A 12,256-nucleotide genomic window follows, 5' to 3' on the forward strand; every position below is an offset into this window, starting at 1 on the left:
TGAAATGAACCCCTGTGTGCACCTCCTTCCTTTACCCAGTGCTCCCAGTGCCTTAGGATGTCATCCCAGATCTCTCCCTTGCCCCTACTCCCCACCTGGTCTGGGGCCTAGGTCTGCTTCTGGCCTCATCCCCGTCCTCTCTTTCCTTCGTTTCTCTACCCTGACTTCTCAGGACCCCTCTCAATTCCTGAGACTTCTGGAGCTCAGGCCTTTGCGCATGTGTTTCCCTCTGCCTGCGGTGACCTTCTCTCTATCTCTTTGCCTGCTGATTCTTCCCCATTTTCTCTGTGCCCCTGAAAATGACACTCCCTCTGGGGGGCACACAGGGTTCTTTTGCAGCTCTCTGCATACTTGCAGCTCTTTTCTTAATTATTTGTAATTTGTTTAAGGTTTGCCATCCTTTCTCTGTTATGAGCAGGGCACATGTCTGTTGCTTTCTCATTATCCCCTGTGTGTTGTCCAGTCACTGGCTTGGCTTGTGACATATTAAGAGTCGGCAGTATACATGTGCATGCAAATGTATGAACATGTGTCTCTGTGTGTGTATAATCGGGGGTGGGATTAGCTCTGAACCGATGAGCTTGTTGCCTAAAGATAAGAATCCCACATCGTGTGTCCTGAGAGGAGAGATAGGAGAAACTGAAGAGGCCAAAAAGCTAGACTGGCTTCACTAAAACCAGCAGGGAGACTTTGATGGGGAATGGTTAGCAGTGTTACAGAGGGATAAAATGCCTCCTAAATTTGGCATTTTCAGAAGTCATTTAGCAACCTAGTCTTTTAATTGCAGGGATTTTTTAAAAATTACAAAATGAGTACAGTACATATTTGTATCTGACTCATCTAACGAAGTTTGTGGTTTCAGAAATAATGAGTCATTCTGAAACAGTGTATTGTTTCACAGCTTTTAAGTTGCATGACTAATACAGTGCATTACTATATACCTTTCACTTACATTCACAAATTATGAATAGTTTGCTACATTTGGTTTGTCTCACACACACATACACTGGCACAATGATCACATTCTGATTTTTTTTTTTTTTTTTTTTTTTTGAGACAGAGTCTTGCTCTATCACCCAGGCTGGGGTGCAATGGCGCGATCTGAGCTCACGGCAACCTCCGCCTCCTGGGTCCAAGTGATTCTCCTGCCTCAGCCTCCCGAGTAGTTGGGATTATAGGCGCACGCCACCATGCCTGGCTAATTTTTGTATTTTTAGTAGAGATGGGGTTTTGCCATGTTGGCCAGGCTGGTCGTGAATTCCTGACCTCAGGTGATCCACTCATCTTGGCTTCCCAAAGTGTTGGGATTACAGGCATGAGCCACTGTGCCTAGCCACATTTAGAAATTGTAATAGGTGCCACAGTCTATAGTCAGATGTTCCCAGTTATCCCAATCATATCTTTATAGTTGTTCTTTTTTAAAAAATCCAGGTTCTATTAAAAGGTCATGCTTGCATTTAATATGTTCCTTTAATCTGAAAGAGTTCCTCAGTCTTTTGTTTGTTTTAGTCTTTCAAGACATTAACATTTTCCTCCGGGCACGGTGGCTCACACCTGTAATGGGAGCCTGAGCAGGAGGATCATTTGAGGCCAGAAGTTCAAGACCAGCCTGGGCAACACAGCGAGGCCCCATCTCTATGAAAATTAAGAAAATTAGTCAAATGTGGTGGCGCATGCCTATAGTCCTAGCTATTCAGGAGGCTGAGGTGGGAGGATTGCTTGAGCCCAGGAGTTCAAGGTTACAGTGAGCTATTAGATTGGTGCAAAAGTAATTGTGGTTTTGGCCATTAAAAAAAGGCACAAATTGGGCCGGGCGCGGTGGCTCACGCCTGTAATCCCAGCACTTTGGGAGGCCGAGGCGGGCGGATCACGAGGTCAGGAGATCGAGACCATCCTGGCTAACACGGTGAAACCCCGTCTCTACTAAAAATACAAAAAATTAGCCGGGCGTGGTAGCGGGCGCCTGTAGTCCCAGCTACTCGGGAGGCTGAGGCAGGAGAATGGCGTGAACCCGGGAGGCGGAGCTTGCAGTGAGCCGAGATCGCGCCACTGCACTCCAGCCTGGGCGACAGAGCGAGACTCCGTCTCAAAAAAAAAAAAAAAAAAAAAAAAAAGGCACAAATTGGCCGGGCGCGGTGGCTCATGCCTGTAATCTCAGCACTTTGGGAGGCGAAGGCAGGCAGATCATGAGGTCAGGAGATCGAGACCATCCTGGCTAACACGGTGAAACCCCGTCTCTACTAAAAACACACACAAAAAAATTAGCCGGGCATGGTGGTGGGTGCCTGTAGTCCCAGCTACTCGGGAGGCTGAGGCAGGAGAATGGCGTGAGTCCAGGAGACAGAGGTTGCAGTGAGCCGAGATCATGCCACTGCACTCCAGCCTGGGCGACAGAGCAAGACTCCGTCTCAAAAAAAAAAGTCTGGGCGCAGTAGCTCACGACTATAATCCCAGCACTTTGGGAGGCCGAGGCGGGCGATTCACGAGTTCAGGAGATTGAGACCATCCTGGCTAACATGGTGAAACCCCGTCTCTACTAAAAATACAAAAAATTAGCCAGGCGTGGTGGCGGGTGCCTGTAGTCCCAGCTACTCAGGAGGCTGAGGCAGGAGAATGGCGTGAACCTGGGAGGCGGAGCTTGCAGTGAGCCAAGATCATGCCACTGCACTCCAGCCTTGGCAACAGAGCGAGACTCTGTCAAAAAAAAAAAAAGGCAAAAGCTGCTATTACTTTTACTTTTGCATCACCCTAATACAATAGTGAGTGTACCACTGCACTTCAGCCTGGGCAACAGAGTGAGACCTTTTCTTGGGGAAAAAAAAAAAAAATTAACATTTTTGAGTTCAGGTGATTTTGCCAAATGTCCCTCAATTTGAGTTTGGTTGTTTCCTTATGGTTACATTCAGGTTAAACCTTTTTGGTGGCAATACTGTCTACATGAGTGGTGCTGCATCCTCAGTCAGTCCATTAAGTAAGAAGGACACAATGTCTGTTTCTCCCATTGTTGGTATAAATCTGATCACATGGTAAAGGTTGTGTCTGCCAGGGTTCTTCACTGTAAGGGTATGTTTTCCCCATTGATGATTCTTGCCTGAATGAGTTACTACTATTGTCTTAGTCCATTCTATGCTTTTATAACAGAATACCACAGACTGCATAATTTATAATGAAAACAAATACATTCTCACAGTTACGAAGGCTGGGAAGTCTGATATTAAGGTGCCAGCATCTGGCGAGGGCCTTCTGGCTGCATCATCCCATGGCAGAAAGTGAGAGGGTAAGAGAGGTGAGAGAGTGAGCAAGCAAGAGAGGGCTGCACTTGCATTTATAACAGACCCACTCTCAAGATAACAGACCCACTCTTAAGATAAAAAACCCACTCCCATGATAGTGACATTAATTCATTCCTGAGGCCAGAGCCCTCATGACCTGATCGCCTCTTAAAGGTCACACCTCTCAGCACTGTTGCATTGCAGATTAAGTTTCTAACCCATGAACTTCGGGGGGCACATTCAAATCACAGCAACCACGGTGATTATAAAATGGTAATTTTCAGGCCGGGTGCAGTGGCTCATGGCTGTAATCCCAGCACTTTGGGAGGCCAAAGTGGGTGGATCACTTGAGGTCAGGAGTTCAAGACCATCCTGGCTAACATGGTGAAACCCCATCTCTACTAAAATTACAAAAATTAGCTGAGCATGTTGGTGGGCACCTGTAATCCCAGCTACTCGGAAGGCTGAGGCAGGAGAATTGCTTGAACCCGGGAGGCGGAGGTTGCAGTGAGCCAAGATCGCGCCACTGCACTCCATCCTGGGCAATAGAGCAAGACTGCGTCTCAAAACAAAACAAGACACAACAACACAAAACAAAACAAAACAAAACAAAATTGGTAATTTTCTTTTTTTTCCTCATTCCTTCCACATTTATCAGTTTGCATTCTTCTGTAAAGACAAGCTTTAGCTTCTCCTTGCCCTTCCTTATTTTATTAATGTCAGTATGGACTTACAGAATTTTATTTTCATTAAACGAGTTATAATCCATTCCTGTTATTTATTTATTTATTTTTATTTTTTCCATTTTTTTGAGACAGAATTACGCGCTTGTTGCCTGGGCTGGAGTGCAATGGCGCAATCTCAGCTCACCGCAACCTCTGCCTCCTAGGTTCAAGAGATTCTGTGGCCTCAGCCTCCTGAGTAGCTGGGATTACAGGCGCCTTGCCACCACGCATTTTTAGTAGAGACGGGGTTTCACCGTGTTGGCCAGGCTGGTCTCAAACTCCTGACCTCAGGCAATTCACCCGCCTTGGCCTCCCAAAGTGCTGGGATTACAGGCATGAGCCACCGCGCCCGGCCCCTGTTATTTATTTTGATGCCCAAATTCAGCCAGTGAGAGAGGGCCCTTACAAGGTCACTTCTGTTTGAGTGTTCCTATTGTTTTTGAGCACTTTCTTATATTTTGGCATAGAAAGGTATTCCAGGCTCACATTGTAGTTTCCAGTTTGAGTACTAGCCATTTTCCAAAGAGTCTTGGTTCCTTTTAGTGGAGAATTATATATAAAAACCAAGATTTGGGTAGATTTGCTCAGTGCTACTGGAGTATCCTTTTTTCTGGGCCCTAGCAATAAACAGAGGTAGGAGGTTTTTTTTAATAAAAAATAGTGAATTACAAGAACTCTTGCTTATAATACAATGCCATCTAATTAATGAAAAGGAATGATTGAGTTAAGCAAATCACCATTTCACGACTGTCATAGTAAGAACTGATTCAGGCAAGAATCATCAATAGGTGCTAAAACTTGTAGGTGAAAGTTTGATGAGGAGTAAGATACTTACAGTCCCCAAACACGTACCACAAGATACCTGCTAATTAAAATGGGAAAGTTATGATGGAGAAACCTGGCAGACACCACATCAACCAAGTGCCTTCTCATGTACCCCTCTTGCTGGTCGCTTGTGTTTATGGCGGCTGATGCTTTTGACAGTTAATGTCACATCTGAGGCAGTGCTCCGTAACCCCAGCCTTGGGAGGGCACTTTTTGGGGCAGAGGACAGAGTGTCCTGTTATCTTTTGGTCTGGTTCCAGGCAGGAGCCCTTTCTCTCAGGGACTGCTTATTTTATGGGAAGGAGATCAGAGTCTGGAGCCCAGTAGCTTTGGGCTGTCTCTGTGTCCCATGTGATCCATGAAAACAGCACATGAGAATCACCAGGCCCAAAGGGGAACTCTGGGAGACCTGGTCCTGGCCCCTAACCTCAGTCTCAACTGGTTGAATCACTGGTGGACCACCTTGGATTGCCTCTTCTTGCCATAGGAAGCTGGTTGGGAGTGCTGCCAACTTTCTTGACCGCAACCTGCATTGCTCATCTTTTGTTCTTAGGGGACTGTGAAGGACAAATGGCATCTCTCCCAGCCACCTTCACATAAGACAGTGGGCTCAGCTCAGGCCCAGCCAGGTCCATCACTGGAATTCAGACATGTCTGAACTTGCTGGAGTAGATGAGAACCCCACAGGAGCCAGAGCAGCCCGGGGCCAGGGCCTCCTGGGAAGACTCGGCCTGAAAGTAACCTTTGGTGACCACACCTTGCTATCCAGTGGGCAGGCAGATGCTGTCCTTTCCTCAGACTGGCCTGCAGGCTACAGCCGTGCCCATCTGCAGAGATAAGGTGGTTTGCCCTCAGGACGCAGATGGCAGAGAGGCCTGCTTCCCGTTCATATAAGTAAAATCTAATAGTATCTACTTTTTTTATTGTTGTTTTTGTGTAAGAATGGTTTTATTTGTTCCTTAAATGTTTGGCAGAATTAGTGAAATCATCTAGGCCTAAAGTTTTCTTTGTGGGAAGGTTTAAAATGATGAATTTTAGGCTGGGCGCTGTGACTCACACCTGTAATCCCAGCACTTTGGGAGGCCAAGATTGGCGGATCACCAGAGGTCAGGAGTTCGAGACCAGCCTGGCCAGCATGGTGAAACCCTGTCTCTACTAAAAATACAAAAAAATTAACCAGGTGTGGTGGCAGGCGCCTGTAATCCCAGCTACTCAGGAGGCTGAGGCAGGAGAATCGCTTGAACCTGGGAGGTGGAGGTTGCAGTGAGCCGAGATCATGACACTGCACCTTCATTCCAGTCTGGGCGACAAGAGCAAGACTCTGTCTCAAAAAAAAAAAAAAAAAGAAAAGATGAATTCTACTTTTTTAATTGTTATAGTGCTATTAAAATTTCTATTTATTTTTCTGTTCATAAATATTAAAAAAAAAACCTTTTATAGTTTGGTACCATAGGAAATCTGAAAAATAGATGAATATTAAAAAAAAAAATCTGGCCGGGCGCGGTGGCTCACGCCTGTAACCCCAGCACTTTGGGAGGCCAAGGTGGGCGAATCACGAGGTCAGGAGATCGAGACCATCCTGGCTAACACGGTGAAACCCCGTCTCTACTAAAAATACAAAAAATTAGCCCGTGTGGCAGCGGGTGCCTGTAGTCCCAGCTACTCAGGAGGCTGAGGCAGGAGAATGGCGTGAACCCGGGAGGCGGAGCTTGCAGTGAGCCGAGATCGTGCCACTGCGCTCCAGCCTGGGCGACGGAGCTAGACTCTGTCTCAAAAACAAACAAACAAAATTTCATAGTTTGATCCCATGGGAAATCTGAAAAAATGGGAGGCTGCTCAGAAGCTCGTCATAACAATATCCCCTCTTATATAGATAGCCTCTAGTGGTTTATAAGCTGAAGCTGAAACCATGTTCATGCACTTGATGTTGATGCCTTGCTTTATTTAGAACTCCCAAGTCCCAGGTGGGTGTTCAACATGTTTCTTTGATTAAGAAGGCAGGGTTCTGTTCCCTTCTTATAAACTCAGGCTTTCTCTCACCATTTGCTTGCCAGGCAGTGTTAGGTGTTTTGGATACAGCTGTGAGTCTGTTCCATGGAGGAGCTCATCCTTCAGTGGAAAGAGACAGAAAATGCAGTTGTGTGGTAGGTACACGGGAGAGGTGCTCTGGGTGGTCATGAGCTGCCCTGAGAGCTCAGGGGCAGATAAGCTGCTCTGCTTCCATGTGAACTTCTGTACTGTGAATTAATTCACGCGTGGCAGGTGGCCAGGGGAAGGATGTTGGTATAATGGAGACACTGCTTTGGTTCACCTGTGATTTTGCCTAGGCAAAGGAGGTGGAATAGTGGGAGGAGAATGACAGTGTTCAGCAGGAAAGGAAAAAGCCCTCTGACTGCTCTGCCGCAGGAGCCCCTGTGGGCTCCTGGGAACAAGAAAAAAACAGTGCCTGCAGCTGGCACTCCCGTAGAAAGCCACATCCTAGCCTGCTGGGGTCTTGGCCGTGGCAGGCTACGCTGCCTCCAGGCCCATCTTAGTAACAGCCCCCTGGCTCAGAACTCCTCTTTCATCTGCACTGTCTTGGCACCTGTCAGCCTTGCTCTAATTAAAGTTTGCCAGGCTTTCTATTTGACTTTTTTGGTGCAGTTTTAATATCCATGGTGGCAGCCTCTTGCCCCACTGAACTGCCTGCCTGGGTGTCCCAAAAGATTTTGTTAGTGCTCTAGTGACAATGTTTTGTAGGTTTGAGTGGTCTGCTCTAGCCCCATGTTTCACAGAAGTCCTGTTAATATGTGGAATAAGATAACATGAGGTTTTCTAAGAATGTATATATTGCTTTATAGCAGAAATGTATGTATTTCAGAGGAATTTAAAGCTTGTGAGCTAGATAGACTATAAACGGAAGAAACATCCCTAAAACAAACAGGAAACAATTTTAAGAAGCGGCAGTAGAACTCTGTGTGCATTTACTTAGCAATCTGCATTTCTAAAGTGCTTTGTACACATTCCGTCTATGTTAAAAGCCTCAGCAGCAGGTTGGAGGCGGGTTCTGGGGCTAGTGTTTCCGATGGGAAGCTCAGGCTCCATCCAGCCTGTGGCTGGACTGGCCAGGCTCAATGTCACTCCCCAGGTAGCTGCCCTTGATCTATACTAGGAGCACCTTGAGAGCTGGGAATTGATTTCTAAGCCTGGTTTGAGCTGAGGGCCACAGAGCCAGTGCAGGAGGAGACCCTGCCCCAGAAATAGGCCAGTGCTTGTTATGCAGGCCTTGGCGGTTCCCCGTTTCCTTACGTAACCTCAGTGTTCACGCTGTTTCCTTTTGTTGATTCCCTCCGTGTGACTGTTTTTCTGTCAATCTCCTTAGCTAATGAGCTCCTTATAAGGAGAATGGATGGATCAGAGCACAGCTCCGTACACAGTGGTGGGGCATAGCCATTTCCCAGAGTGTGGACTTTCCCAGAACTCCCCTGTTGTGTGGGCCTGCAAAGGCTGGGATTGTTTCTGCCTTGTTTGGAATAATAAAGCTGCCTGTGTTTCCTGTGTTCACTTTTCAGTCGCCTGTTATTCACTCTCCTACATTTGGGGCGGTTGTCCTGCTTCCCTGGCCTCACTGCAGTGCTCAGTGACCTCTGCAGCAGAGCAGTGACTGCCACGGGCTGGCGAACGGAAGGACGGAAGGACGTGGCCCATGCCCTTCAGGAATGTTTTGGGGAGATGGACAAACGCATGCAGACCTGAGGGTGTTCGGAGCACAGGGAGGGAGGCAGAGTCTGCAGCAAGGGGTGGGGCCGAGGAGGGAGACTGGCCTGGGGAGAGGACAGAGGCCCAGCAGGAAGTGGGAAAGGAGAGGGCGTGGCAGGTGGTTACCAGAGCCCTCCTGAGATGCCAGAGTCCCCAGGGGTTCGTTCCTTCCAGTGTCCTGCCCAGTGCAGGGACACCTGCTTGCCTTTTTTTTTTTTTTCGAGATGGAGTCTCGCTCTGTCACCCAGGCTGGAGTGCAGTGGTGCAATCTCACTCAGTTCACTGCAACCCCCGCCTCCTGGGTTCAAGTAATTCTCCTGCTTCAGCCTCATGAATAGCTGGGATCACAGGCATGCGCCAACACACTCGGCTAATTTTTGTATTTTTAGTGGAGACGGCTTCACCACGTTGGCCAGGCTGGTCTCGAACTCCTAACTTCAGGTGATCCACCCACCTCGGCCTCCCAAAGTGCTGGGATTACAGGCGTGAGCCACCGCGCCCAGCCAAAGGGACAGATTATTAAAGAAGATAAGAATGGGAGAAGGTGGAGGATGCAGGGGCCAGGGCACGTGGGGAAGGACACTTCCTCAGCTGTACTGTTGCACTCCAGCCTGGACGACAGAGTGAGATTCCGTCTCAAAAAAACAAAACAAAACAAAAAATGATATTACAAAGGACATAGACCAGGGTGAGGTGTGAGAAAGAGCGAGGCGTTTCCATGCCCTCCTTGGGTGCACCATCCTTCAGGAACCTCCATGTGTTTGGCTGTCCTGTAGCTCTCCGTACCTTTTCGTCGTAGCCCTTTTTTGGATTCTCCATTGAATAGACATGACTCAAGCATGGACAACTGGGTGGCAGTGTGAGTGGACGAAAAGGCATGATTCAGACTGACAGGCTGAATGGGGAAACTCAGCAAAGCCTATCTGTTCCAATGCTTCTTGGCCTCTCTGTGCGGCTCCTTCTAGGGGAGGGGCAGGACCCCTTCTGAAATGCGGGTCTTATGAGTCACAATCAAACAAGGTAGATCAGAGAATTTCTTTATGGACAGCTCCAAGACAGAAAGACAGAGGAAGATATATTTTTAGTTATCATGGCCTGTCTTGGGGAGAAGTAACAAGGGCTATGGGAGTTATGTGCCAGGAACTGTGGACCAAAGCCAACACAGCTGACCCTTGAACAGCACAGGTTTGAACTATGCAGGTCCACTTGTATTGGATTTTTTTCAACCAAACATGACTGAAAATGCAGTATTCCTGGGATGTGAAACCCACATATACGGAGGGCTGCTGACTGCGGAACCTCAGTATGTGAGGACTTTGGCATACATGGGGATCCTGCAACCAACCCCCTGTGTGTACATACGGTGAGGTGACTATACATACATACCATAACATCGCAGAGCACACTCCGCTTCCTACAGAGGTTGTGCTGAGGGGTCTGGTTATGTCCTCCAGCATGCCTCTTTTTGCTGTCCTTGAGGACTGCCTCCCAGGAGGGTGGCAGAAGCCCCTTCCTTCAAGTCTTCAAGCTGCTGACCTATGGCTGTGTGGTCAGGCGGAGGAGGGAGCTGGAATTTGTGAGTTGAACATGGAAGAGCTGTAGATTCCTATGCAGGAAAATGGCAGTTTGGGGCGAAATTGGAATCAGATTAGATGAGGTCTGTGTCCTGACTGCAGTTTAGCAGCAGCAGGCACATCATGTAGCCTTTCTGAGCCTTGGCTTCCACGTCTGTAAACTGAGGATAGCAGCTCTCACCTCAGGAGGCGTGGTTTGATGAGATGTGAGGGGTCCACAGCCCAGAGCTGCCCAAATAGCAGGTGCATAGGCGGTGGCAGCTGTGCCATGGATGTGTCCGGACAGCTGGGGGAGGGTGTGCAGGCATCTGTCACCAAAACTTGGGGTTTGGTTGTGCGGTTCCTCCCCTGCCTCAGCTGATAACTTTCTCCATCCTTCTCTGAGGTAACAGCAGTTCTCAAGGAGATGCTGGCCCATCTTCTCACCACTCAACTGTCCCACTCCCTGCACTGGCGCTGTTCTTGTCCTTCCTTCCACTGCAGCTGAGGAAGTGTCCTTCCCCACATGCCCTGGACCCTGCATCCTCCACCTCCTCCCATTCTTACCTTCTTTAATAATCTGTCCCTTTGGCCGGGCGTGGAGGCTCACGCCTGTAATCCCAGCACTGTGGGAGGCTGAGGTGGGCGGATCACGAGGTCAGGAGATCGAGACCATCCTGGCTAACACAGTGAAAACCCATCTCTACTAAAAATACAAAAAAAGAAATAGCCGGGTGTGGTGGTGGGCGCCTGTAGTCCCAGCTACTCGGGAGGCTGAGGCAGGAGAATCGCTTGAAACCAGGAGGCAGAGGTTGCAGTGAGCTGAGACGCGCCATTGCACTGCAGCCCTGGCGACAGTGTGAGACTCTGTCTCAAAATAAATAAATAAAATAATAATAATAATCTGTCCCTTTTTCCTGCATCTTCTCTACTGATCATTTTCAGCAGTGTGCCCGCATCCACCATTCTCTTGATCTTTATCCCACTCTTCCTTTAATCCTCTCTTTCAGGAAATGCAAATGCGTAGGGGGAAACCCTAAGGAATCATCCTCCAGTCTTCATCTTCCTGCACCTGTTGATCTGCAAGACCTGTTGGTTCTGCCTCCACAGCGCATATCCACTTCCATCATTTTTGCTGTCACCCTGGCCCAAGCCGACGTTGTCTCGAGTCAACTACCGAAATAGTTTCCTAGCTGATCTCTCTGCTTTTCTTCTGGCTCCCCTAAAATTCAGTCTCCGTACTCTGGCCAGGTGACCTTTATACAACAGAAATCAGTACCATCCCCTGCTTAAAAGTCTTCCATGGGTCCCGGTGCCTATGAACTGGCCCCTGCCTCATCTTGGGCTCATTTTCCTGCATGAAAGCAGCACATGTTGTTCTCTCGGCCTGGTATGTTCTACTTTTCAAATTTCTCACTCCTCAACCTTTAGCTTCTGCCTGAAAGGCCTCCTGACATCCTGTATCCAAGGCCTCCATGTTTCTCTTCTCAGTGCATCCAGTTCATTTTGGTATAGCGGAACCCGTCGCAATTCATAACTTCGTATTTATATGTTTACTTATTTTCTGTGTTTCCCATTAGCTTATGTTCCACAAGGGCAGTGATTGTGTTTCCAGTGCCTAGCAGAATGTGTGGTACAAATGAAAAACTCTTCGAATGAACTAATGAACCAACAGGGAAGAGTGGTGGTGATGGAGGTTTACAGAGAAGGCAGTGACCAGCTGCCCCACTGATTTAATTAGCTGCTTTTCCTTATCCAAGAGAAGGCATGACAGTTTTGCACATGTGTCGGATCCAGCAGCTATGAGAAGTTCAGATGGGGTGGACTCCAGTTGTTGTTCTGAACTCTAGTAGGAAGCCACCCCTATGAATGAGCCTCTATGTACAGGGTGCTGCAAATATAAAATCGCTTTAAAAAAAAGAGGCAGCATAACATAGTGCAAGGAACACAGGCCTGTGAGTACTGATTTAGCTTCTGGTCTTTGGTTTGTGTATTAGCTTTGTTCTTCTTTTCTTTGTTTTCTTTTCTTATTTGTGAAATAAGAGAGATTGGACTAGAAAGATAAAAGTCCTCTCCAGTTTGGCTGTGTTAACGGAGTACCTCACAGTGTTATCAGCAATCGAAACATTTAATTATCTTTTGA

The 12,256-nt window shown here is 47.8% G+C and overlaps 1 protein-coding gene across 6 annotated transcripts in view, besides 6 other annotated features; it reads left to right on the forward strand.

Annotated features, from left to right (window-relative positions):
* ADORA2B (adenosine A2b receptor) overlaps window positions 1-12,256 on the forward strand; it is a 125,385-nt gene that overhangs the window by 108,104 nt on the left and 5,025 nt on the right. The window contains exon 2 of one of the 6 annotated variants that reach the window (XM_047435375.1): window positions 11,124-11,502. The exons of 4 other annotated variants lie outside the window; for them this stretch is intronic. In XM_047435375.1, the coding sequence (XP_047291331.1) occupies window positions 11,124-11,298 (175 nt within the window). In that variant the 3' untranslated portion in view covers window positions 11,299-11,502. Of the gene's footprint in view, window positions 1-11,123; window positions 11,504-12,256 lie in introns of those variants that run through there. One more of the 6 variants, XM_017024197.3, reaches the window with a different exon arrangement.
* Window positions 7,254-7,840: an enhancer, noted in NCBI's record as "NANOG-H3K27ac-H3K4me1 hESC enhancer chr17:15869033-15869619 (GRCh37/hg19 assembly coordinates)". NCBI's record gives its function as "activates a minimal SCP1, AML or CMV promoter by ChIP-STARR-seq in naive H9 embryonic stem cells {active_cell/tissue: H9 hESC(naive)}" and the evidence as "EXISTENCE:reporter gene assay evidence [ECO:0000049][PMID:30033119]".
* Window positions 7,841-8,426: an enhancer, noted in NCBI's record as "NANOG-H3K27ac-H3K4me1 hESC enhancer chr17:15869620-15870205 (GRCh37/hg19 assembly coordinates)". NCBI's record gives its function as "activates a minimal SCP1, AML or CMV promoter by ChIP-STARR-seq in naive H9 embryonic stem cells {active_cell/tissue: H9 hESC(naive)}" and the evidence as "EXISTENCE:reporter gene assay evidence [ECO:0000049][PMID:30033119]".
* Window positions 8,427-9,013: an enhancer, noted in NCBI's record as "NANOG-H3K27ac-H3K4me1 hESC enhancer chr17:15870206-15870792 (GRCh37/hg19 assembly coordinates)". NCBI's record gives its function as "activates a minimal SCP1, AML or CMV promoter by ChIP-STARR-seq in naive H9 embryonic stem cells {active_cell/tissue: H9 hESC(naive)}" and the evidence as "EXISTENCE:reporter gene assay evidence [ECO:0000049][PMID:30033119]".
* Window positions 9,014-9,598: an enhancer, noted in NCBI's record as "H3K27ac-H3K4me1 hESC enhancer chr17:15870793-15871377 (GRCh37/hg19 assembly coordinates)". NCBI's record gives its function as "activates a minimal SCP1, AML or CMV promoter by ChIP-STARR-seq in primed H9 embryonic stem cells {active_cell/tissue: H9 hESC(primed)}" and the evidence as "EXISTENCE:reporter gene assay evidence [ECO:0000049][PMID:30033119]".
* Window positions 9,849-10,597: an enhancer, noted in NCBI's record as "H3K27ac-H3K4me1 hESC enhancer chr17:15871628-15872376 (GRCh37/hg19 assembly coordinates)". NCBI's record gives its function as "activates a minimal SCP1, AML or CMV promoter by ChIP-STARR-seq in primed H9 embryonic stem cells {active_cell/tissue: H9 hESC(primed)}" and the evidence as "EXISTENCE:reporter gene assay evidence [ECO:0000049][PMID:30033119]".
* Window positions 10,598-11,344: an enhancer, noted in NCBI's record as "H3K27ac-H3K4me1 hESC enhancer chr17:15872377-15873123 (GRCh37/hg19 assembly coordinates)". NCBI's record gives its function as "activates a minimal SCP1, AML or CMV promoter by ChIP-STARR-seq in primed H9 embryonic stem cells {active_cell/tissue: H9 hESC(primed)}" and the evidence as "EXISTENCE:reporter gene assay evidence [ECO:0000049][PMID:30033119]".

Source organism: Homo sapiens, chromosome 17 (genome assembly GCF_000001405.40).
Source record: "Homo sapiens chromosome 17, GRCh38.p14 Primary Assembly".
In the NCBI taxonomy this organism is placed as follows: Eukaryota; Metazoa; Chordata; class Mammalia; order Primates; family Hominidae; genus Homo; species Homo sapiens.